Below are 26,948 nucleotides of genomic sequence, written 5' to 3'. Positions count from 1 at the left end.
AGACTATTCGCCTCACCTTTTCTCTAAGGCATCTGTTCAAAAAATTTCATTCATTTTGCAAATATTTACATAGGCCAGTGCTTCTCAAACTATGTATGCTAAGGTCCAGCTGTATTTTTTTTCCTTTTAAATTTCCAATCCATTGCAGACCAACATTTTTGTAAAATATAATTTTAAAAAAATTGTGATAATGTCAAATTGCTATAAACATTTGTAATTACTTATTCTTAATTTCCAATATTTGTCTTATTGTGGACTGGTAACAGTGGTTCATGGTCCAACAATGACCTGCAACCTACATCCCAACACCCCTGATGTTGATAATACATGGATAAGAAGACATTACAGTTGTGCCTTCAAAGGCCTTTGAGCAATGGTTCTCAACACAGGACAGTTTCATCACATTTCTTTTAATCGTCACTGGGGCTCGGAGTGGTGAGGAAGGGAAGTACTGACATCAAGTAGAGGCCAGGGATGGCGCTTAACATCCTATGATGCACAGGTCAGGCGCCCTACAACTAAGAATTATCCAGCCTAAAATGTCAATAGTGCCAAGGTTAAGAAATTCTGCCTTAGGAGTGTAATGCAAATGAATAATTACATTAAGAACACAGCTGGATTCTAAGTATATACAAGGTGCAGGGAAACACAGGAGAAGCACCTGAGTCTGTCTGGAAGGTTCTGAGTCTGTCTGGAAGCTTAAACAGGGACAGTACTTTAAAAAGAGTCCACATCTCCTCACAGATTTCCACAACCCAACCCAAAACTAACTTTTTAATCCTATTTCCTGTTTCTTCCAAACAACAGCTCTGTTAGACTGGTCTAAGTCATGAAGTCTATACCGTGTTTAGTCTGTCACTCTTCCCAGGATATGGACAACTATCCCCTTCCCTCCTCCTATCCAAAACCGCTCAGCATTTAAGGCCTTACTCAAGCTCTGCCTCTTCTATGAAGTCTTCTCGATGTGATTCCCTTTCAGTTCCTGTAGGGCTTATCAATTGTACTGCTCATCTGGCACTTAATCAAATACTGGCCTTTGATATCACTTGTTACGTTGCTTAATTTTTTAATGATTATTTAATTTTAACATTTATGTTCCCTCTCCAGGTTGACAGTTTAAGACAGCTTCTCTGACACACCCATTCCAGTTCCTTCCTTCCTGTATTCTGCTACAACACGTGACAAAAAACACATGAAAAAAGTGGCATTAGGTATTACAGCCTACCACCAAATCTTCATGTCTCTTGAGCTCATGACAATTTGAACACATCAGATTACTAGAAAAGTTAGTTATTTACAATGCAAAGGACACCCAGTCCCCAGACCAAATAATTATACAGCTCAAAATCTCAATGGTGCCATGGTTGGCCCTTGGCTAGAACAAAGGCTGCCTCAATGATTGCTTCAAAGGTCCCCAAAAAAGTGAAGCTAGAAAGCCCATTAAAATGGTTTTACACGATGGGCTTTCATGGGAGAATAACATGTAATGGTTAAGGAAATGAAATCTGGGGCTCGACTGCCTGGGTTCAAATCTGACTCTACTACTTACTAGCTGTGTGTCTTGGACCCATTACTTCACCTTTTTGAGACAGAGATTCCTGCTCCATAATATGGAGACAATACAGTGTCTACTTCTGAAGGTTGTTGTGAGGATTAATAAACACAATAATAAAGCACACAGAACAGCGTCTGGCATTATATAAGTATTAGCCACCACCCTCATTATAATCACCAACTTACGTATGGGAGTAACGCAGGAGAAAACACCAACCGCTTCACTTCAGGAGTCATGGGAATTCGATTCCTCAAGAGAATGGTTTTTGAAGACTAAAAACAAATTCACGCCCAGTTCCTCAAATGTCAGAAGCTCTGCTCTCCCTCAGCTCGCTCTGCTCCCACTCTTTCTTCTTTAATGCTGCCTTGGCTGCCTAAAGGCCTGGATGCAAATGTTCTCATGTTTGAAGGGCAGACTACTTACACCATTACTATAATGCAGAACATTCTGGGGGAAAGCAGTTTGTTATATATGGAGAAACTTTTTCTCTTCTTGACCAAATAGGATAGGTGTTCTGTCTACCCTCTAAGGGGCTGCCAGCAAAGCCCTTGGAATCCAGGCCTTTTACCCTGCACTCTCCTCCTCCACAGAAAACTTCATGAAGGCGGAAGGATGTACCTGTTTCCTGCTGACTTTCCATGCTGATGGTAGAGTCACCCCAAGAAACATACTGTGATATTATCTTTTGTCTGTTGGCTTTTAAAATCACACATTAGAAATACAATAAAACATTCAGACATAAAGGTAAAATTGAGTAAAAGAACAAAACTTTCCCTTTATTCCCCATCTTAGCTTCCCTTCCATGGAAGTAAACACTTTTTTTAATTTTTAAATTAAATTTTTAAATTAAAAAAATAAATAAATGAGACAAGGTCTCACTATGCTGCCCAGACTGGTCTTGAACTCCTGAGCTCAAGTGATCCTCCCATCTCAGCCTCCCAAAGTGCTAGGATTACAGGTGTGAGCCACCACATTCAGCCATAAACCTTTTTTCAATTTAATGTATGTCCTTAGAGATTTTTAGAATGCATTTGCTTTTATATATTTTTTATTAACACAAACATGTCTCTACATTTGGAGCTATATCATTTTAAGATTGCCTCTAACCGGTTTCTTACTGGTGGGCACTCAGGTTAACACTTAGATCTCAACTTTGTAGTGACCCAACTGTTGATCTGTAAGTAACTCAACTGTAGTTGCCAGGAAATCTAATCCATTTGGTGACTCTGTAGACAGCACTACCTCTCCAAAAGATTTGTTTCTTAAAGTCTGTCTATAAATGCAAAATGCCAGGTGAATTTACATACAGTTTGACTTTCAGATATAAGCACAACTACTGTTCAAATATACATTTAACTTAAAAATTTAAAACCAATGGAAAAATTAATTCAAGGTTAAAAAAATTACAATTTATAGAAAGTTATCTAAAGTATTTTTTAGGGTCTATGTTTTGTCTCTAAATCCTGATCTAGAGATTTTTGAAATCACATGGTCTTAAGCCATTTTATTCTTCTAATTAAAAAAAAATCTTTATAAATTTCCTGACCTGAAGTTTTCAGTAAATTATTACATTCTTCGTATCCAGGTATCATCTATAAGTACTTAGTGGAGAACAGGAAGGCAGAAATTTTGCATCTCTAACTAGTGAGCAACTGCTGTCTTTTCCTCTGCTAATAAATTACAGGCAGACTTGAACAGATGTCAGGTTGGCATTCAAAACCTAAAATATAGCTGAAAAGCAAGTTATGACTAATACAAGAAAAAAAGATGAATGTCAGAAGGCTTCATTTTTTTTTCTTTTTTTCAAATTTCAGATAAGCTCTTTAGCCTTAGGGTTCCTTTTACAGAGCCCTGGAGTTCGCCTGGATGTCTTAACCCCCATTTAAAATGCAATCTCTCCTCATGAGTGGGGGTGTGAAAATGCATTTTAAGAGTGTCAGTGTTTATGTTAATCTTAGCAAGAACTCCCTCTCTCCAAAATATGGCATGCACAAAACCTTAGTGCCCTTTCTTCCACTATGTTTTATTTGCACTGTTTTTAGTATGTGAAAGATGTCTGTGTGATTGAAAGGTTCCTTATCTTCTCAGCAGTTCTGTTTCATAGAGTAACTACAATTTCACTTATGATATCAGAAAAGAGTTGCTTTCCTCTTGAATTTCAAAAGAAACCTTAAAAATACGATTGAAAATGGGCTTACAGAGGGAGACACTGGGGAAAGGAGACCAAAAAGAACACAGTGTCAGTTTCAAAGAATGGGGGCACAAGACCATAACAAGTGGCTTTCCTCCCCACTAGGTGGCCTGAACATCTACACCCCACAGATCCACTGAAAGACAGTGTGAGGCTGAGGTCTTCCCTCTTTACATCCTTTTCCTTCTAGGTCTTTCCTTGGGTAGATGTGAACCTATTCCCAGGATTACATTAAGAGATGCTGACTAATTCTTTAACAATTATTCCACTGTTCATTGAAAACGATGTGTTTTTTTGCTTTGACATTTATAATTTAGAGAGAATTGCCAGGGATGCTGAAAAAATGAAGTTTCTTGGCAGAAACGCTATCTTTGCTAACAAAATAGCTACAGTGAGAACTGAGGTAATCAATCATTTATTTATCCTGAACACTGTCCACAAAACTGCATACAGGGGAATAAGTGTGGTAAATGTCCGAACACAAGTATTCAGTATCTATTCAGTTAACACCTGAATATGCTGAAAGACAGCAATCAGCTGTTGAATTTATTCACCCATACTTCCAGATACCAGCTTTGATGTTCACATTTCTACCCTGGGACTCAAATGTGGCTTCTATTAGCCCATAAAATTATGGATTTAAGGTAATTCTTAATTAAAAATCTGTTTTGTGGGGGGTTGGAAGGCATTCTAACTAAATATCTATTTGGTATTTACTAAGTGCAAGGTATAGGTTTAGTTTTCTTCGCTCGTTGCTCTCATATCCTTCCAAGGAAGGGCTGCCCCACTTGGGTTTGGGTGAGCTCAACTGCTTCAGACAAGGGGAAAACTCAACAGTTGCTCTGATTAAAACAATAACAAAAACAAAAGTCTAAATTGATATTCCCCTAAATAATCCCTTTTCCTTTATCCCTCAGTCTAGAGAGCTTTATGTGACTTCCTTTCTCCTTTAAGGGTTTCCTTGATTTTAATTCTACAAAAATATAACAAAACTACAAAAGCAGAAAGGCATACATTATCTTCTTCTTTTTTTTTTTTTTTTTTTTTTTTTTTTTTTTTGAGATGGAGTCTCGCTCTGTCGCCCAGGCTGGAGTGCAGTGGTGCGATCTCGGCTCACTGCAAGCTCCGCCTCCCGGGTTCACACATCCTCCTGCCTCAGCCTCCCGAGGAGCCGGGACTACAAGCGCCCGCGACCACGCCCGGCTAATTTTTTCTGTTTTTAGTAGAGACAGGGTTTCACCGTGTTAGCCAGGATGGTCTCGATCTCCTGACCTCATGATCCGCCCACCTCGGCTTCCCTAAGTGCTGGGATTACAGGAGTGAGCCACCGCACCCGGCCTAAGGTATACACTACCTATTTGAAAGACCTTCAAGAGAGAAACTAACAGATTGGAAACTCCATGACAGTTATTTTCAAGTATATTACCTCATTGGTTCCCTAATTTTACTGCTTAATTGTGTGCCTCTCGTTAAGTCCTTTAGTCCTCCTATATCTCATCAGCAACATTCTGTTCGTAGCTAAACTATATTTTTCAATTTTGAAAAGGCAACATGAAGTTTTATAGACAAAAAGAAAGAACTCTGTTACCTAGAAGCATAATTATCAGTCTGATGAACATAATGACAGAAGAGAAGAATATTCTAAATTTATCACTTTGTAAATTTGAAAATTGATATATAGGCAAAAAATCCACTTAGTTAAGATTCCTGTTTACGAAGTAGACATCACTTTAGACTCCATGGTAAAGACAGTAATTTGGTCTCAAGCCAAAAGTAAAGTTTTCTGCTTAAAACAAAAAAGCCCCATAACCTACATAAATTATTCTTTTCTAATCTTTTTTAAAAATTAGAACTGATTTAACCAGTCATACTCAGTGTCCAGCTGAATCCCCAAACCATATAGATCTGTCTATTTAGTTAACAAAGAGTGGGGGAAAAAAATCCATGTTGTTCCCACCTGACATGTCAAAAAAAAAAACAACACAGAATATGCATAAAAATAATTTGTATAATTTTATTTATATTCTGTCAAAATATAACCATTTTTATTTATATACCTTTACCAAAGCCTAAGGAGAACTTTATAACCACACTGTAATTGGAGTGCAAGAAAGGATTTTACTATATAATTCCCCCAAAATTCAAAGGAAAAAAGAAGCCTCTATTGGAAGACAGGGAATTATACATGCATTACAAAAGAATTATTTCTCAGCCATTTAACCATTAAAAAAAAAAAAAAGAAGAAGCTTTACTTTTTTTTAGATACCCAGAAACTTCATCCAGAATAAAGAAAATAAGTTTTTCAATTCAGCTCAAAAGCCAGGACAGCTTTATACTAGTTTGTCTTTTCAATGAAATTGGTAACAAATGCTTCCTGATGGCAAAAAGCCATAAAGAGAAAAAAAAAAAAAACTTTTCCAAAAGGATAGAATTCATTTTTTGTCTAATTAAATTAGTGTAAAAATATTAGAAAAATAAATCCATAAAAAAGGTTCTGGACAGTGGCACTCACAAAATTCAAATCCATAGTGCTTAGTCAAAAAACACATCAAAAACAACAAAAAGCACACTACTGTAATTCAGCTCATTTCAATACGGATATCAGAAACAGATGAAATTCACTAACAAATTCCAAATCTGTTCTGATTTAATTTAAAACTCTCCAACAGCTGGCAAGGTCACAAACTGACCAATGTGAGACCAACTCCTTTACGCATTATCTACCCAACGCATACTGACGTTGCGCGTAGCTTCAAGTGCAGGATCTAGATAATGCACAAATAGCAAACTAGTATCTGAATAACTGTTATCTTCAATAGCTTCCAAACAGTGAGAAAACATTTATAATTAAAAGAGACGGCTTACTACCAATGCAGTTATTTTTCTACTTTTTGGCTAAACAGTATAAATGTTCTAAGAAACAGAATCATTAGACTCTTCCTGCACTAGATCTCAGTTCTGAAAACCAGTAAAAACATTCCACAAGAATAACTTACAACATTTGGAATCATCTTTTTATCCCTGCTTTTACCCAAAATACACTTAAACAATATTTTCATGTCTTGATCGAAAATACACATTACCAAGATAGTGAACTACCACATTTTAAAATATTTTCCCAATTAAAATTCTGCTTTTAATGGACGTGGCCTTTGTATCTTTGAGATAAAAAGTATGCTATTGCCATTTCAAGGTGTATAAAACTCAGGTGATGAGGGTCTCTGTCATTTTCTCTTAATCCAATTCCAAACTCGACCTTTACTCAGTGAACAGGTGTGTGCCGTGCCTGTAATTTATCAGAGTGAGCGACCAGGCAGAAAGGCTACCAACAATAGAAGGCTAATACAATCCAAGCACTTAGTGCCTAGAAAGCAGTTCTTATCCCCACTATAATAAATATACTTTTATCTTCCAGTAGCAATTTAAAGATAAAGAATGATGGGGATGAGCGGAGTAATATATTCATATTCCTTCCATTTTTTTTTGGATGCTGTTTTTACACTAATAGTCTGCCAGAAGCTGTTATGTTATACATTCCTTTCTCAGATATTCTGTTGCTCACATTCCAATCCAACGAATGATATGGACATGAAAACAGTCATGACAGCATTTCCACTGGGCAAATAAAGTCACTTCACACAGATAAATTAAATAAACCTTCAAGAAGAAAGTGGTAAACGAATAGTGCACTTCTTTGTATGCAATATAGAAACTCCAATGTATATCCTGCATTTGTCTTTTTGGATCAAACTTATTTAATTTAAAAATATGCAAGTACCCATTTATTAGGTATGAAGATGTACTAACTGGGTAATGCAACAGTACAATAAAAAGGAACGGCAGCTAATGTCAGAACAATGCACACAGCCTAATAGATAGTTATTATTCAGCAGGGTACATCTGACCCATAGTGATCTTTAGAGTCAGGTGAACTTTCTAAATATGCCCTATAGAAAAACATTCTTACGCAAATAAATAAATAAAATGGAGTCACTACTAGTATTATTACTGTCAGGGGAAGTTTCTAAATATGCCCCATAGAAAAGCATTCTTCAATAAATAAATAAACAAAATGGAGCCACCACAAGTCTTATTTCTATGATTTCCCCATAAAATTAAAATGTAATTTTAAAAGTTCTGGTATTATAAAGTTTTTCAGAAAATTTATCTGTTCATTTTTAAAGAAAAAGACAAAAATAATGGGTCTGAAAAATAATTTCAAAACTATTGAAAAGAGATTCTTCATTGCATTAATTTTTTTAACAACACAAGATTTTATAACATTTTCCTTTTTAAACTTACCCATCTGCTCCACAATCTCTGGAGGAAATACTCGGGAAGCAAATGCTCGTCGGAAAATATCTGAAAATTCCTTGTCTAGACCTCCTATTCCCATTTTTTCAAAGTTCCAGTCAGGATTGATAATTGATTGGCGATTTTCCTTGGTTTTAGCTTTGCCTATGTCAAACGAATATTATCAAATGTGAAACAAGGACTTTATCACTAAGTCTAAAAAGACAGACAGAACTCCCTGAGCATCCTAAATGAATAAAGAAAAGCTACCCTTACATATACAAAACGAACAATATAATCTTAGCTGATTTTACAGTCAGAAGGGTAAGTTTTGCTATGCTATCTACTTTGTCTGATCTCCATATATGGTAACACACTGTCAAAATGACTAGCTAAACTTATGCTGTAGTCTATTTGTATCAGTCCATAAAACTTAGTTTTATTAACCTTCAATCTAACTAAATTAACTAACTCGGTTGATCAGAAGAAATGCCATATCTGATGAAGACAACACTAGCTGGCAGAAATGCAACTGAAATCTCGCAGTCACTGAAGTCTCCTAACGCAAGTTTATTTTAAAATACATATATTTATCCAGATTAAGCTTATACAGGTAATTGGGCATATAACCCCTCAGCCTAAGGAAATATACTGAACAAGTTTGATGTCTTCTTTGCTTTCTCTTCACTTGGACACAAAAGTCTGAAATCATCCTAAAGACTTCAATGATTACAAAACTCATGTTTAAAAATTCTCAAGAGGACAAAAATTATCTAACTTAAATGTCAGAGTGCCACCTAAAGTAACTCAAGAGAACCACATTTACTATTTCAAACAAAGAATAAATTAAGTACCTTAGTATGCTCTATTATAAACAAAAAATAAAGTAATAATATGGTTTTTATAAAACCAGGGAAGAAAATGTCACATTAAAAAAAGTTTATCCTAAGAAATGCTAAATATTTGAGGTGATATGTTAATTAGGCTGATTTGATCATTCTACAATGTATACATGTATTAAAATATCAAATTGTACCCTATAAATATATACAATTATTATCTGTCAATTAAAAATAAAGTAACGCTTTTTAAAAGTTTATACTAGATGATAATTTTATGGTTAGAGTTTTGAGGCCTTAAGATTTCCTTTGGAAAGCGATGAAAAATATTTTTTTCTTACACTCTACTGCCCTCTTGTGGGCAAAATTTACTGAATGCCAATTAACTACACAATTTTTTTCCCATGGATTACTTAGAAATACCTATGAAAGTTATGCAACTCCCTTGGGATATCTTAACAAAAGGTACACAAAAATAAAATACAAAGAAGTCACTTCATAAATGTACTAGATCAATAACAGGAAAATACATCCTACCTTCATAAAATGACATACAGGCATTAAAAATCATGTTATAGGTGTATATTTAAGATGTTTGAAACATGCTAAGCAAAAAAAGCAAATTACAAAACTATGAAAACAGAACCAAATTTTACAGTGTGTGAATTGTTTTCGAATGCCTATCCATATTTTATAAATAAAATATTTTATAATTAACAAAAAACAATAAGGGGGAATGGTAATTTGTGGACCAGGAAATAAAGGCCACGCACTCAAAGACTGTTAAGTGACCCTGGACATGATGATGTGCAACCAATGAAAACCCTCTACTCTCTAGTAGGGTAGACATCAACATAGTTAAATCAACCAAAAATAAGAATTAATGCCCAGTTAATGTCACATTATTCTGGTGAGTTACTATTCTCAGAGAATAAGCTGCAATTGTTTTAATATGACAAAAATTGTGCTAGAGTACAAGAGTAGGACTGAACCATGAATCTGCTGGGAAGACTTGACCTGCACATTCATCACTTAATCACTAAAAGAAATGATGATGCTATCTCATTTAACACAAAACCAAGTGAGGGGCATTCTACAAAATAACTGACCAGTTCTCAAAGTCATAAAAGACAAAGTCTGAGGAACTGTCAGTGACTGAAGAAAACTCAAAAGACAGAACAACTAAATGCAATATGGGATCCTAAATTAGATCTTGGAACAGAAAAGGACACAATGGAAAAACTGGTGAAATCTCAATAAAATCTGTAGTTTAGTTAGCAGAAATGAAACCATGTTCATTTCTTATCATTGTACTTTTGAAAATGTCAAATAAGACATTAACATCAGGGTAAGCTGGTAAAGGGCATACAGAAATTCTCTGAGCTATTTCTGCAAATCTGTGAACCTAAAATTATCTCAAAATTAAAAGTTAAAAAATTAATTTGTTTCTTATTTTAGTGCAATTTCTAGGAAATTAAAAATTACACATGTGGCTCACACTCTATTTCTATTGGACAAAGTTGATCCAGATGAAGGTTTTAAACGTTTTCATCAGCAAACTGACCAACAGGAAATACCCCATGCTTCTGTGATAAACTCTCTCAAGAGAGATGCCCCTCTTTCCTTTCCCCATTTGGAAATCACTGTAGTTGAGTTACATATAGAAATAGGCCCACTTCATTTCAAATCTTCTAAAAACTGTAAATCTTACCAATAAGATTAAGTGACGAATTTTCTGCTTTTTCAAATGCAACTTGACTGTTTCCAACAACCAGTCCTACTTCAATCTGTAGAGAAAGACAATAATTAGTAGTCTAATAGCAAACTTCTGGACTTCTCAAAGCAAGGCCAAAAGTGAGGGGGAAATGAGGTCTCTCTGGGCAAAGCAAACCTTCCAGACTATCATCTGAGCTACTTTTACTTTTCTCATAACTTTCTTCTACAATTCTTACATGCCTTATTTCCATGCCTATATCTTTCCAATAATGCGTTTCTTATTATTTATTTACAATAAATATCTGCATTCAAGCAAATTATATGTACATATACGTCTACATTTTACATTAATATTAGGTCTGCAAATAAATACATTTTAAGCTATATTTTAATAACAATGATGGCTATGAAAGCAATTTTTTCTCCCTACTATCTTAAAAGGGTACACAATATGAAAAAAATCACTAAGCAACAGATAGGAAAATTATAATCAATCTGCACAAATTACATTATAAAGATGATCTAGTAAAGATGATCAGAAATAAAAGCTACCTTCTGCCTTTTCCCTGTCGCAGGCTCTCCCTTCAGGATGCTAGGATCCATGGCTTCAATGTCCTTCACCAGTAAGCCAAAAAGCTTTTCATTGAAGCTAAAGACAAGCTATGTAGAAAAGAGGTAAGGGGAGAAAAATCACTTCATAATATAATAGTTTGATCCTCAGATCATCACCAATGTTTTTCAAATGCAGAAAACCAGTTTATCTTATATACTCCTCTCCAATCTGCTCCTCAAACAAACTACTCACAGCCAATGAAGAAAAGGGAATTAGCACTTACGATCAGTGTTTACAAAATGACTGCAAAACTCATGTTTAAAATTTCTTCCACATGGATAAAAAATATCTAATTTAAATGTCAGAGTGCCACCTAAAGTAATTCAAGAGTACCACATTTACTATTTCTAACAAAGAATAAAGTTTCTTAGTATTTTATTCAAACACTACAGCCAGTTATATAATATTCACAAACACTCTTGGAAGCAGAAACTACGACTCCATTTTACTAGTGAGGAAGCTGAGATGCAGAAACAGGCTATGCAACAAGGCTCAAAGTCACAGTAAATGAGAGCGCCAGAAGTCAACCCTGGGTCTGTGACTCTACAATTCCTGCTTTTCTATCACTAGTACAAAATGCTTGCCCTACAAGTGCAGAGACAGCTTCTGAATGCTCAATTACTCATTCACCAAATCTTTGCTGAGTCCCTTCTAAAAGTTTGGTCTTCTTCTATGTGCTGGGGTATAATGGTAAATATTACAGGTTGGGCTGTCTGTCCATTCTGCTACTACGAGATACCACAAATGAGAAGAAACAGTTAAGGACAGTGATCTGGAGTAAGATATTTACTTCTTCTCTGAATTACGAAAGATTCTCTTTCATGGATTTACTGACTTCTACATGCTACTGAGTTTTAAATTATTATAAATACCAAAGCATTTTCTATTAAACATTCTCCTAAACATTTTCTATTAGGATACTAAAACTAAAAGCAAAGGTAAAAACCATCAAGTTTAGCTAGGCAATCTGAGCACAATTTTGGTCATCCAATACACAACAGCACCGCAATAGCTCTCTGGTGAATTGTCCTGATCTACTTTCATCAGAGACCTAACTGTACATGGTATTCCTGTCTTATTTTCTGTTTTCTTCAACTAGAAAGTAAGTTCTATGACAGCAGGGATCATATCTATTTTGTTCACTGCCGATCTGCAGTGTCTAAAACAGTGACTGGTACTAGGCACTAGGTACTATCAAATATGTGTTTAATTAATTCTTATCTCAACTATGTCCCTTAGCTGTGTAGCCATGGGCATACCATTTACCTTCTTTAGATCTTAAATTCCTCATTTGGCCAGGCGTGATGGCTCACACCTGTAATCCCAGCACTTTGGGAGGCCGAGGTGGGAGGATCACTTGAGGTCAGGACCAGCCTGGCCAACATGGCAAAACCCCATCTCTACTAAAAATACAAAAAAAAAATGGTTGGGCATGGTGGCTCATGCCTGTAATCTCAGCACTTTGGGAGGTCAAGGCGGATGGATCACCTGAGCTCATGAGTTCGAGACTAGCCTGATTAACATGGTGAAACCCCATCTCTACTAAAAGTACAAAATTAGTCGGGTGTGGTGGCGCATGCCTGTTATCCCAGTTACTCGGGAGGCAGAGGCAGGAAAATCACTTGAACCCAGAAAGCGGAGGTTGCAGTGAGCTGAGATGGTGCCGCTGCACTCCAGCCTGGATGACAGGGTAACACACCATCTCAAAAAATAAATGAATAAATAAATAAAATTTTAAAAAATAAAAAAATAAAATTCCTCATTTGTATATGTGGAGTTACATAAGGTAATCTCTTGAGGTTCATTCCAATTCTAGTACTCTTTTTAAAATAATGTACTATATCCTTTTCCTATCTAGCAGGAATTCAGTTTTTTAAGATTCTCAAATAAGCCCATAACCAAAATAAGAACTTTTTTTTTTTTTTTGAGACAATCTCGATCTGTCACCCAGGCTGGAGTGCCGTGGCACAATCATGGCTCACTGCAGCCTCAACCTCCCAGGCTCAAGCCGTCCTCCCACCTCAGCCTCTTGAGTAGTTGAGACCACTACACGCAGCTACTTTTAAAAAAATTTTTGTAGAGACAGGGTCTCACTTTGTTGCCCAAGCTGATCTTGAGCTCCTGGGCTCAAACGATCCTCCCAACTCAGTCTCCCAAAGTGTTGGGATTACAGGCATGAGCCACCATGTCTGGCCAAGAGCTACATTTTCTACAGAACTATATTAGTGAAAGAGACAGACATTCCAGAGGCAAAACAAATGTCCTATGATATAAAAAGGAATTTCAGATATATATGTCCACAGGGTTCCCAAATTTGCTGAGGGAAAAGCTGCTATAATTATACATGACATTTTAATCTAAAAGCTACTTTAGAATTTTTCTGAACAGACTCCTTGAAGTTCAGTAAATACATCTCCCTCACTTTTATCACTCACCTTGGATATACGAGTTGATACGCAAAGCCCCTCTCACTTTTTAAAAGGTGGAATTAATTTTGGAAAACTGCAGAAATTAGAATACCTATAAAGTTAAAGGAATGAAAGAAAATTAAAAACTACCTGTTGTCCCACTGAGAAGGCCTGGTTGTTGAATTGCTGAATAAATTCTGCTGCCATCTTGTCGGTGTCATAAGGGTTGGAGTCAATGCTTTTTTTCTGCAGGAAATCAATCTCGATGGTCATTGTGCCAATACACTGTTTGGCTTTGTCAAATGTATATAAGGAGACTAGGGGAAAAAAAGAAGCATTTTTTTAAAAATCACAGGAGTACAAAATACCTGTAGTGTTTCTAGTAACTAAAAGTTTCACATAAATGAATCATAAACTACTTCACCAAAAATGGGGTTTAAATGGCCTTCACTGGAGGGACACACAGGTACAGGTTTAAAAAATAATAGTCACTAGAGATTTTCTTCCCCATCTGAATTAATTAGAAATACTGAATGGCAGGCCGGGCGCGGTGGCTCACTCCTGTAATCCCAGCACGCTGGGAGGCCGAGGCGGGCGGATCACGAGGTCAGGAGATTGAGACCATCCTGGCTAACACAGTGAAACCCCGTCTCTACTAAAAATACAAAAAATTAGCCGGGCGTGGTGGCGGGCGCCTGTAGTCCCAGCTTCTTGGGAGGCTGAGGCAGGAGAATGGCGTGAACCTGGCAGGCGGAGCTTGCAGTGAGCCAAGATCACGCCACTGCACTCCAGCCTAGGGCAACAGAGCCAGACTCCGTCTCAAAAAAAAAGAAAGAAAGAAATATTGAACGGCAGTCTCTCTGTTGTTATCCCTCATCCCACTCTTATCAGGATCACAATCCTCCCCACATGGCCTCTGCATCTTTCTCCTCATTTAATGCAATACAGTATGGGATGCCCCAACACAGTTGGCATAACATGCTATTTCCAAATAAGATTTTTGTTTGACACAAAAAAACAGCTAAGGTGGGATGTGGATGAATTATTTTGGCCTAAGAAAGTAGGACGCAAGGCAAAAAAAAGAAGCTTGAAAAACAATGTTTACTAGCGGAATTTGCTCCAGAGCAAGTTAGAGTTTGACATTTCTTTTTTACTACTACAAAAATGTTTCCTGAGCACCTGCTACATCTAGGGAACTACAGTAAGTTCTACATGTACACATGTAGATAAGGGCAAGGACGAGGTTTTTAACTCCTCTTCCTATTAACAGCATCTAACAGTTTCTTTCAGGTGCTTAATATATTCATGAACTGTTTAAATGAAACAACAATAACAGAAAACCCATGGTCTCCATGCTAATAACAAAGGAGGCAATAAAGCATACATACAAAGCTTTGGATAAGAAAATTCCTGTTCAAGCCACATAAAAAGTTTTAAAATGAATTTTAGGTTACAATGTAATTAATATTAAAGTGTTACACATGATTTTACATCATGTAATAACTGTTCGACCAAAAACCTTTAATTGTACAACTACAACACAGTTTACATATCATATTTTTAGAAAAATATATGTTAAAACAAATTTTGCTAGTGACAGATAATTACAAAGAAGCATTTCCCTAGAAAAAAAAACTTGATTCTTAAATCAGCTCAAAAAGTATACTTATAAATGCCAGTTTATAAACAAACTTTTAAAGCAAAAAATTTTACAGTGCTGTATACTGTAGTGGTACTATTAGGAAAGAGTAGAGTAGGCTACCCAGAAAAGTTCAAGAGGATTTTTGCATTTGAGTTTCCCCAGGAGGGCAACTTGATTACGCCTAGTAAGAAAGAGTCTATTGCTACTCTTCAATAAGGCTTCACACACGAGCACACACACACACACACACACACACACACACACACACACACATTTATTTTCCCTTTAGGTTCCCTGAAGATACTTGTCCTAAAATTTACCAATGGCCCCTTAAGGATACAGTAGCAGCTCTCGTAAGCAACCTCCACTGAGCTGAGTCATCAGAAAGCTGACCAACTTTTATCCCTCCAACATATACCCATCAGCCTATGGTTTGCCTAACGCTCAGAGCTTGTAGACAGGAGTTGCTACACATCATGGGTCAACCAAGTTCATTCTGGTATCTGTCTGTGCTAGTTACACTTGTTACAGTTAATTATGAAATATAATTAAATAGTATAAAAACTTCTGAAGGCCTGGTTGTTGAACTGTTATTACAATGACTTTGACATTCTAGAATAGATATTATAAGTTGAAAGCTTTGGGAAAATTTTTTAAATGAAGTGTTTCTTCTAGAAAAAAAAAATACTGCTAACTAGGTATAAGCATTAAAATTAGAAAAGGTTGGGAGTGAACTCTACAAAAATCCAAGAGGTTTTGGCACTCTCAGATGCTCTACAAAGTCTAAGTTCTCCAGCCATTTCAAAGAAATCCACCTGGAAATTATGGGTAAAGTGTATGCACAAAAGATAATACAGAACTCCAATCCATGGACCACACCTCCAAGAAAAAGCCTTTAACCAACTTTTCACTTAATTACCAGTCCAAGTCACATTGGGTAAGTGAGCTTCTACAGTTCTCACCACAAAAGCAGGTTATAAACAAAGACTGTTTTTTCACACTTGCTTTGAACAACAGGCATGGCATTTCTGTGAGTTACTGAGGTCAAATAGCAAGAGGTAAACAAAAGAAGTCACTGTGCAGTATTAAATGTCTGTTGCAAAGATTCTAGTGGTTTACAAACAAAGCTGTTTTCTTCAAAGGGACTTTGAGTATGTGTGTTTCAACAGATTCTGCTAGCAATCAGAAGAATCCAAGTAAATAATTTAAGTTGTCTGTGCCTTGATTTGTCACATCTATAAATCAAGACTGAACTAGATAAGTCTTTATGGTCGTTTCACACTCTAAATTCTGTTCTAAACTTATTTCTTAAATTCTAGACCCTTGAGTTATGTACAAGGATTTTCTGTAAACTCTTATTTTATATTTGAGACAGAGTCTTGCTCTGTCACCCAGGCTGGAGTGCAGTGGCACGATCTCAACTCACCGCAGCCTCCACCTCCCGGGTTCAAGTGATTCTCGTGCCTCAGATTCTCAAGTAGCTGGGATTACGGACGCACACCACCATGCCCAGCGAATTTTTGTATTTTTAGTAGAGACAGGATTTCACTATGTTGGCCAGGCTGGTCTCGAACTCCTGACCTCAAGTGATCTGCCTGCCTTGGCCTCCCAAAGTGCTGGGATTACAGGCGTGAGCCACCACGAACGGCCGATTTTCTGTAAACTCTTTAAATGAAATTGTTTGTATAATCAGATTTCTGTATTTAAAGGGGGACATATACATATTTTAACTACTTCAAAAGCAAAATAACAAAGCCTGAGGAAGGAACATAAAACTCACTGAAGATCAAATAATAAGTTCAAATTTTGGCTAAAAGTTTCAGAATACTCTCCTGTCTCCAATTCTGGATGGCTTGCTCCTTCTTAACATTTCCTAGAATGGCCAGGCACGGTGGCTCATGCCTGTAATCCCAGCACTTTGGGAGGCTGAGTTGGGCGGATCACCTGAGGTCGGGAGTTCGAGACCAGCCTGACAAACGTGGAGAAACCCCGTCTCTACTAAAAACTACAAAATTAGCCGGGCGCAGTGGTGCATGCCTGTAATCCCAGCTACTCAGGAGGCTGAGGCAGGAGAATCGCTTGAACCTGGGAGGCGAGGCTGCAGTGAGCCAAGATCGCACCATTGCACTCCAGCCTGGGCAACAAGAGTGAAACTCTGTCTCAAAAAAAAAAAAAAAAAAAAAATCCTAGAAAGTACAGGTTATATGCTGAGTAACTTTGATAGGCAAAAGAGCTTAGTTGTTTCCCTCATGTAGTTTGAAAACATTTATAGGTTGAAATATTAATGTAAAAATGAATATGATGATTCAGCAATTCCATTTCTAGATGTCTGTCCCAGAAAGATGCTAGAACATTTGTCTAACAACACATCTACAGGGAGGTTCATTGCAGCATTATTTATAGTACTTAAACATTGAAAAATGTTTATCAGTAGGAGAACAATGAATAAAATGTAGTATATTCATAATGTAGAATACTTTACAGCAATTTTTATTGAAATTAAAACTTGGCCAGGCACAGTGGCTCACACCTGCAATCCCAGCACTTTGGGAGGCTAAGGAGGGAAGATCACTTAAGTCCAAGATTTAGAGACCAGACTGGGCAACACAGTGAAACCCTATCTCTACACAAAATTAAAAAATTAGCCAGGTACTGAGGCTGCAGTGAGCCACGACTGCACCACTGCACTCCAGCCAAGTGAGACCCTGTCAAAAAAACAAAAAAAAAACAAAAAAACAAAAACCAACTTTATGTATATTTATTAAAGATGGACGGCCTGGCCAGGCGTGGTGGCTCACACCTGTAATCCCAGTACTTTGGGAGGCTGAGGTGGGTGGATCACCAGAGGTCAGGAGTTCAAGACCAGCCTGGTCAACATGGTGAAACCCCATCTCTAATAAAAATAGAAAATATTAGCCAGCGTGGGGGTGAGTGCTTGTAATCCCAGCTACTCAGATGGCTGAGGCAGGAGAATTGCTTGAACCTGGGAGGAGAGGTTGTAGTGAGCCAAGATCACACCACTGTACTCCAGCCTGGGCAACAAGAGCAAAACTCCATCTCAAAAAAAGATGGATGGCCCTTGAAAACATAATATTGAGTGACAAAAGTCTACTGCAGAAAGGTTTGTACAGTATAATACCATTTTGTGCATTAAAGACACCAAAACAATATCATAATGTCATAATGCATATATATGTGTGTATATACATATATTCATGTCATCTTCATACTGAGAAATTTGAATAAGTATATTTAAAATATTGGCCAGGCGTGGTGGCTCATGCCTGTAATCCCAGCATTTTGGAAGGCTGAGGTAGGTGGATCATTTGAGGTCAGGAGTTCGATACCAGCCTGGCCAACATGGCAAAACCCCTTCTCTACTAAAAATACAAAAATTAGCCAGGTGTGGTGGCACATGCCTCTAATCCCAGCTACTCAGTAGGCTGAGGCAGCAGAATTGCTTGAACTGGGGAGGAGGAGGTTGCAGGGAGCTGAGATCATGCCACTGCACCCCAGCCTCAGCGACAGAGCGAGATTCCATCTCAAAAATAAATAAATAAAAATATAATTACTACTGACTGTAGTAATGCACTGACTGTAGTTTTCAAATGCATTTTAATTTAAGGCCAATGTTCCTAAATAGAAAAGACCAAACTGTTACAATTTCAAGTGCTATGGGCAGCACCATGGACAGTATCCCAGGCAGCACCACAGTCAGCACCATGGTCAGTCCCAAAGGGACAAGAGTCCTGAAGATTTCATCCTGGATCAAAGAAGATTGAGAATGTTTTCTTATTTTACGGCTAATAGTAATTTAATATAAAAGACTAATAAGAAAGATTTTATAAGCAAAAAATAAGTGTATCCAGTTCTTTGAATAAACTTGGACTTTACAATAATAGGTGTATATATAGTGGTCAAAACATCAGCCTGTAACACTTAAAATATGGCATTGCCAGATGGAAAGAAGACCGACTAAATGATTCCTCCAGAAGATTCCCTCAGACTAAAATCACTGATTTGACTAAAATGTTTCACCTTACGGAACTCCCATTCCAGAATACTTGAGCACTCCTTCAAACCACACCTCCTATCCTATCTTGGTCTACATCACTACTTAAACCAAACCAGTTTTCTATCTTTATGGCTACATCATCCACATCACTTGGGCCCCAAAACCCTACCTTCCCTCAAGCTTACTCCACTTTAGTCCCACCTATCACTGGGTTTTACAATTTTGCTTATTAAGTCTGTTTGAGCCACTTCTTTAAAGATCTGACTTTACAATCCAGATAAGCATTTCTGTTAGCAGAAGAATGCTTTTATAACTTAAACCGCAAAACACATTTCTCAACTCATCAAAATTTATAATCTTGAATTTCTGTATCTTGTCACAATAGAAAATATCTAGATTCAAAGTTTTAAGTACTCTTAGCCTCATATTTAGAAAAATTAATTTATGAAAATTAGAAACCTAAGCTACATACTACCCCACTTTCTCATTAAATTTAACAAGTGTTCATACTTCCACAAAGAAAAAGCTAACTAAAAATAACACCAATGTTGGCTGGGCGTGGTGGCTCACATCTGTAATCCCACCACTCTGGGAGGTCAAGGCAGGTGGATCACGAGGTCAACAGATCGAGACCAGCCTGGCCAACATGGTGAAACCCCATCTCTTCTAAAAATACAAAAATTAGCCGGGTGTGGTGGCAAGTGCTTGTAGTCCCAGTTACTTGCAAGGCTGAGGCAGGAGAATCGCTTGAACCCTGGAGGCAGAGGTTGCAGTGAGCCGAGATTGCGCCACTGCACTCCAGCCTGGCAACAGAGCGAGACTCCATCTCAAAAATAAAATAAAATAAAATAACCCCAATGTTTAAATTCCATCTAACTTAGAAAAAATTACAAGTTGTCAGGTTCCTAAATGAGGAGTAGGATAAAAGATGTGTGTGTGTGTGTGTGTGTGTGTGTGTGTGTGTGTGTGTGTGTACAGAGAGAGACAGAGACCCAGAGAGGAAGACAGGGAGCCAGAATGATAAAGAAAATATGACAATTGGTAAAGCTGGGTAAAGGTAGTATACAGAAATTCTTCGTATTATTTTTGCAACCTTTCTATAAATACAATTTTTTTTTAAGTTTTAAAGACAAGCAGAAGAAAAGCTGGTTTAATTACACTTGCATTTTCTTTCCTTCCCCTACTGTATCCATGAAGTTGACATAAAATCATCTGACTAAAGACGACTCATACTCCATTTCCTAACTTTGCCACATTGCCTGAGACAATGCCACTTTTTGCTTATTAGTTCTTTGGCTTATTATCTATTAGCAGCTTAGTCTTTCCACCCCGCCACGCCCCCAACTGGAAGTCATAAATTGCTTTCCTTGCCTTGAACTATGACGACCTTATCACACACTTCATAAAAGATATAGGAACAGAGGTACCATAACTATTTCCTTCCCATTCTCATAGATGTAACCAGTCTTCTGATACAATGAATGTTTAAGATCTGACCACTAGTAATAGAAAATTGTACAGATCTCAATAACTGTGAGAAAATCACATAGAAAATCTTTATCAGGTGGCTAAAAAATATACCTACCTTCTATTTCTTGCCCAATAGAAAGCCCAGCCCATTTTCTCTGTAAAGGAGAAAAAAAGATACTTAAAACCAAAGCCATCAAAATTAGACAAGAGAAAAAGAGGAATTTTAATGAATTTTAGGAATACACTCAAAGATCAAAACATGGTATGCTATTATGGTTGAACTGTGCTCTCCCCCTCCAAAGTATGTTGAAGTCTTAGCCCCCAACACCTGTGGATGTGACTTTATTTAGAAATACAATCTCTGCAAATGTATCAAGTTAACATGAGGTCATAATGAATTAGGGTGAACCCTAAGCCGATATGACTGGTGTCCTTCTAAGAAAGAGACATAGACACACAGACAGAATGCCATCATGTGATAGCAGAGGCAGAAATTGAAATGATGCAGCTACAGCCAAGGAACACCAAAGGATTGCCGGCAACACCAGAAGCTAAGCACAGAACAGGTTCTTCCCTAGAGCCTTCAGAGAGGGAATAGCTCTACTGACACCTTGATTTCAGACTTCCGGCCTCCACAACGGTGACAGAATAAATCTCTGTTGTTTTAAGCTACCCAGTAATGGTTCTTTGTTACTTACCCTAGGAAAGTAAAGCATGTGCTACAGTTTACATCTGAACATCTGTTTCAAAACGTGCAAAGCTTGCCTTTTGCAGTAAAGCTGGCACCACTGAGGAGGATGTTCCTTTGCACAATATGATGCTACAGAAGGTCTTCACTGTATCAGATCACACTTCAGTGTTCTAAATGTACTGCTGCAGTTAGTTTTACTGTTTGTTACAGTATCTCAAAAAGGAAGACATTCAATTCATGAAGACTAAATTAAAACTGGTCAGAAAATCTATTTTGAAACCCAGTCAGGGACTGAAATCATTAGATGGTCATGGCTACTCTTTGTATACTAGCCAGAAGATTTTTAGACATTTACAGCTAGATTTCAGGCTTTCCCAAATCCCTACTGTTTACAATGGCAAGAAGTATGAAGGCAGGCCAGATTGTGTTTAGGCAGGAATCTGGGGTTTGCTTGGTATAGATTCAAAATTAGTAATTACTGATAACACTCCAAAGAACAATGAGAAAAACAATTTTTGGTTGAAAATCAGTAGTTCACCTGCCCATCCAAACACTGCAGACTTTGTGGCGGGTAATTTAGAAGACACTGAACTGTGAATATGTGCAACAAGTGCTCTCCCTTGTGGCTTTCTTACCACATCCTGTTTCCCTCCACTCTGCCCTTCACCTCCCCCAGAAGACCTCTTCTGTAAAACCCCATCCCACTTCTGGCCAACCTGAAATTTAGCACCATGCTCGTTAAGCTTAGACTTTAAGTCACAAGGAAGCCACATTTAGGTTCTGTACTTCAATCCCAAAGACAGCTGATATGGTTTGGCTTTGCCCCCACCCAAATCTCATCTTAAATTGTAGTTTCCATAATCCCTATGTGTTATGGGAGAGACCCAGTGGGAGGTAACTGAATCATGGGTGTGGGTTTTCCCATGCTGTTTTCATGATAGTGAGTAAGTCTCAGAAGATCTGATGGTTTTATAAAGGGCAGTTCCCCTGCACACGCTCTCTTGTCTGCCGCCATGTAAGACATGACTTTGCTCCTCCTTCGCCTTCCACCATGATTGTGAGGCCTCTGCAGCCATGTGGAACTGTGAGTCCATGAAATCTCATTTTTCCTTATAAATTATCCAGTCTCCAGAATTTCTTCATAGCAGTATGAAAATGGACTAATACAACAGTCCTTAGGGATAACAACAGTAGCTATTGTATAAGGTTGTTTGGAGAATTAAATGAGCTAACACATGCCAAAGTACCTAGAATAGAGGCTGGCCTACAGTGAATGTCGGGGAAATTTTTTTTTTTTTTTTTACAAAACAGAGACAAGGAGAAACTGTCACACCTCAAGCTATTGCTAACAATCAGAATCCCAAATGGAACTCTGTAAAAGCTGGAGAACCCTGGAATATCCCAAACTTTTAATCTATAGAAACAAACGTGAAAGTGGTCTGGATAATGAAGAGGCATCAAACAGACAGGTGGAATAGTAAGTGAAAATTTCCTGTAATTTTTGAGGGCTTCAAGAGATCTTCAATAGTTCCTTTTTTTTCCCTTTTTTTTAAGAGACAGAATCTCACTCTGGAGCAAAGGCTGGAGCATGGTGGCACAATCATAGCTCACTACAGCCTCGACTTCCTAGGCTCAAGTGATCCTCCCAACCTCAGCCTCCCAGGTAGCCTGGACTACAGGCATGTGCCACCATGCCCAGCTAATTAAAAAAAATTTTTTTTTTGTAGAGACTAGTGCGGGGGACAAGGGTCTCGCTATGCTGATCTGGAATTCTTGGTCTCAAGCGATCCTCCTCCACCTCCCAAAGCACTAGGATTACAAGCGTGAGGTACCTGGCCCATCTAATAGTTTTTGTTTTTGTTTTTTTCTTTTTTAAACAGGGTCTCACTTTGTCACCTAGGCTAGAGTACAGTGGCACTATCTCGCCTCACTGCAGCCTCAACTTCCCGGGCTCAAGTGATCCTCCTGCCTCAGCCCCTCAAGAAGTTAGGACTACAGGCATGCACCACCACACTCAGCTAATTTTTATATTTTTAGTAGAGGTGGGGTTTCGCCACGTTGCCCACTGGTCTTGAACTCCTGGACTCAAGTGATCCACCAGCTTTGGCCTCCCAAAGTGCTGGGATTACCAGCATGAGTCATTGCACCCAGCCTAATAGTTCTTAAATGAGTGTTTGATCTCTTTCTCTAAACCTTCAGGGAAGTCAACCAATGCTCATTAGCATACTAGGAGGAGGTAGGAATTCCATTTACATTACTTAGGACTGGGGACAGTCAGCAGCCTGAGTAAAATGATAAGGGAGAAGAGGATACAGACTAGTATTCTTGGTGCTTTATATTATGTATGATGTGCCTGGGACAGCACTAAGCAATCTAATTCTCTGGATTCTACAGAATCCATCAACAGTTGTAACTGTAATCACAACCCATCCAGTTGTTATGGGAGCCTAGCAAATTATGTTGTAATTTGAGACTCTTTCCAAATTCTTTAGTATAACGCCATCACATTATAAAATCACCATTCTTAGATATCAACTTCACAAATAAAATGTTTTCTACTTTTCTATTACCCTGGCAGTTAACATTAAAATAACTTGACGCTTTATGTGATAGCTGACTGATTTTACTGCAAAATCTTTAAAAATTAGGGAAAAAAAATCAAGCCAAAAGAAGGCAGCCATAGCAAAAACTGGCAATTAAGAATCTGTCTTTAGGTTGGGCATGATGATTCACACCCTATAATCCCAGCACTTTGAGAGGCCAAGGTGGGAGGATTACTTGAGCCCAAGAGTTAAAGACCAGCTTGGGCAACACAGTTAAGACACCATCCCTACAAAAAATTTTAAAATTAGTCAGGCACAGTGGTACAAGACTGTAGTCTCAGCTACTCGGGAGACTGAGGTATGAGAATTGCTTGAGACCAGGAGCCATGATCGTGCCACTGCACTCCAGCCTGGGTCTCAGAACGAGACCCTGTCTTAAAAAAAAAAAAGAAAAAAAAAAAAAAGAAGACTGTATCTTTAAATTCCTTATATAATACTTAGATATTTTTCTTCAATATGAATCAATACAGTCACAGGGTGATGCTTGCTTAAAATGAACAGATTATTCATATTCTATGACTTTCAAAAACAGAAGAGAACAAATTAACATCTGAGTTACCTGAGGTAAACTGAATGCAATGCTCCCTGGAACCACCGATGGATGTGTCTTCAGTGTAAATGTGTACCTGTGATTGGGAGAGGTCCTCACAATCACATGCCTAAAGGACAGAAACACAGTTAGTACTCCACATTGAAGGAAATGAAGAACATAATTTCAAAATGTATTTCTTGTCAAACTGATATTTAATGAGTATCAGGTGGAAACGACACTATCTGTGTCTTGAAGAAATAGAACCACAAATTTAGTTTCCCAAACTATCAGCAATCCCAAATGTTTTCCAGATATAAGGAGCACCTTGGGTCAAACACTCATCAAGTAGAATCCAGCCAAAATACCATCCAAAATACCAACTTCCTTACATTTCCAGTTTACATAAAACTGAAGCCAGTGATTTAGAGTCCTTGATATCAAGTAAAAACTAGATGCATTTCCTCTCCTGAGAATTACTTCACATCCTAATAAGGAGAAGAGAGCCAAAGATAAAAGAGCTAGGATATAGCAATCAAAAAAAAGTTAGTTTTTAGACTACTCATTAAATTTATTTGCAGACTCTCTCAACAGGCTAAAACAAAAACAACCTACAAAATAAAAAAAAAAAAGATTTAAAAAATTCCTAAAATACATCAGCTTTCATGTAGATATCAATATTTACTGTTTTAAAAAATTTTGTGCTAATTCCCTGTTCAGAAATTACCTGTAAATAAAAAAAAAAACAGTCCTCTCATGATAATCTCCTATACCAGGTAACTAAAAAGTACTATGTGTAAGATAGAAGCTTCAAATCCTGTTATGCAGCAGCAGTATCTTTTTTTTTTTTTTTTTTTTTTTTTAATACATGTGGTCTTGCTATGTTGACCAGGCTGGCCTCAAACTCCTGGGCTCAAGAGATTCTCCTGCTTCAGTCTCTAAAGTAGTTGGGACTACAGGCATGCCCTAACATGCCTAGCTCACTATCTTTTTAAACATTATCTTTTCAGAATGCTGTAATTTTTCACATCAATGGCTAATGTTTCTATACGTATTTTTTTTGCCACTAGAACACATGTTCCTTATATCAACTACATTTTGAGTAACCCCACCATGAGTACAGTGAACATTTAACATATGTAAAAGAATTCCACAAATTCTCACGTTGATTATCTATACTTCAGTTTATCTGTTGAAAATCCTGTGCTCAATTTAGCATCACAGAATGTTTAGCACTGGAAACAATGTTAATATCACCATATAGTACAGCCTCTTACTCTGAAGCTGGAAACCAAAGATGATTAGCATTTCTAACTCTGTGAAACTCAGGTATTTCACAGATAACATTTTAAGAAAAATGCTCAGTTAAAACCCTACCACCTTGCCTCTTATTTCCCTACAGCCCCTTCATCTCCTTATCTGTACCAATCTCAGAAGCATATGGATGGCACTGAACTTGCAGCAGGGTCTTTAGAAGTCCTGGCAGTGCGGTGATATGAATCAGTTAAAATAAATTACAGTGCAAAATGCCTTTAAGGATTCTACATTTGCTTTGCAGCTTCCAATTTTCTTTTTCCTTTACTTTTTTTTGAGACAGAGTCTCGCTGTGTCACCCAGGATGGAGTGCAGTGGCGCGATCTCGGCTCACTACAGTCTCTGCCTCCTGGGTTCAAGTGATTCTCATGCCTCAGTCTCCTGAGAAACTGGGACTACAGGCGCACACCACCATGCCTGGCTAATTTTTATTTTTAGTAGAGATGGGGTTTCACCATGTTGGCCAGGTTGGTCCCAAATTCCTGAGCTTAGGCAATCAGCCTGCCTTGGCATCCCAAAGTACTAGGATTACAGGCGTAAGCCTCCATACCCAGCCCATCTTCCAATGTTCATGTCTCTTGGATTATCATGGTAATAATAATCATAACAGCTAATATTTACTAAGGGATTGTTAACATGTTGGGAACTGTTCTAAGTGCTTTATTTATGTAACTCAATCTTCATAGCTACCTTGAGGAAGAGATCATCTCCATTTTACAGATCAGGACATAGAGGTACAGAAATGGTCACACAGTTTGTAATTGGTAGAGCCAGGAAAACTCAAACAATCTGAGTTTGCCAGAACCAAACACCTAACAACTCTGCCATATATGATTCATACAACCAGTATGTTTAGCTCTACTAAGAAAACTGATGAAAACTAGAGTTTTATACATAAAACATTTTTAAAACATTATACAGTATTTATCAAAGTTTGACACAGTAATGATTCAAATACATAACTTTTTCTCATCTTCTCCATTTTCCAACTCAGCAAGAATTTTTTAAAAATATTTTCCAACGTTTCCTAAAAATGACTCTCTGGAAGTTTCCCGAATGCCACTTAGCA

At 37.6% G+C, this 26,948-nt stretch overlaps 2 protein-coding genes across 3 annotated transcripts in view, besides 1 other annotated feature; both read right to left on the bottom strand.

Moving 5' to 3' along the window:
• LRRC37A2 (leucine rich repeat containing 37 member A2) overlaps positions 1-26,948 on the bottom strand; it is a 676,337-nt gene that overhangs the window by 397,821 nt on the left and 251,568 nt on the right. The window lies entirely within an intron of this gene.
• Positions 1-26,948, bottom strand: part of NSF (N-ethylmaleimide sensitive factor, vesicle fusing ATPase) — a 166,796-nt gene that overhangs the window by 106,157 nt on the left and 33,691 nt on the right. Inside the window, exons 3-8 of one of the 2 annotated variants that reach the window (NM_006178.4) lie at positions 24,596-24,695; positions 20,858-20,897; positions 13,766-13,932; positions 11,147-11,254; positions 10,590-10,665; positions 8,049-8,204 (exon numbers count right to left, since the gene is read on the bottom strand). In NM_006178.4, coding sequence (NP_006169.2) covers positions 8,049-8,204; positions 10,590-10,665; positions 11,147-11,254; positions 13,766-13,932; positions 20,858-20,897; positions 24,596-24,695 — 647 coding nt within the window. The remainder of the gene's footprint in view (positions 1-8,048; positions 8,205-10,589; positions 10,666-11,146; positions 11,255-13,765; positions 13,933-20,857; positions 20,898-24,595; positions 24,696-26,948) is intronic. The other variant, NR_040116.2, reaches the window with a different exon arrangement.
• Positions 23,366-23,898: an enhancer, noted in NCBI's record as "OCT4-NANOG hESC enhancer chr17:44704776-44705308 (GRCh37/hg19 assembly coordinates)". NCBI's record gives its function as "activates a minimal SCP1, AML or CMV promoter by ChIP-STARR-seq in primed H9 embryonic stem cells {active_cell/tissue: H9 hESC(primed)}" and the evidence as "EXISTENCE:reporter gene assay evidence [ECO:0000049][PMID:30033119]".

Source organism: Homo sapiens, chromosome 17 (genome assembly GCF_000001405.40).
Source record: "Homo sapiens chromosome 17, GRCh38.p14 Primary Assembly".
Classification (NCBI taxonomy): Eukaryota; Metazoa; Chordata; class Mammalia; order Primates; family Hominidae; genus Homo; species Homo sapiens.
This window is presented reverse-complemented; position numbering and strand designations above follow the sequence as displayed.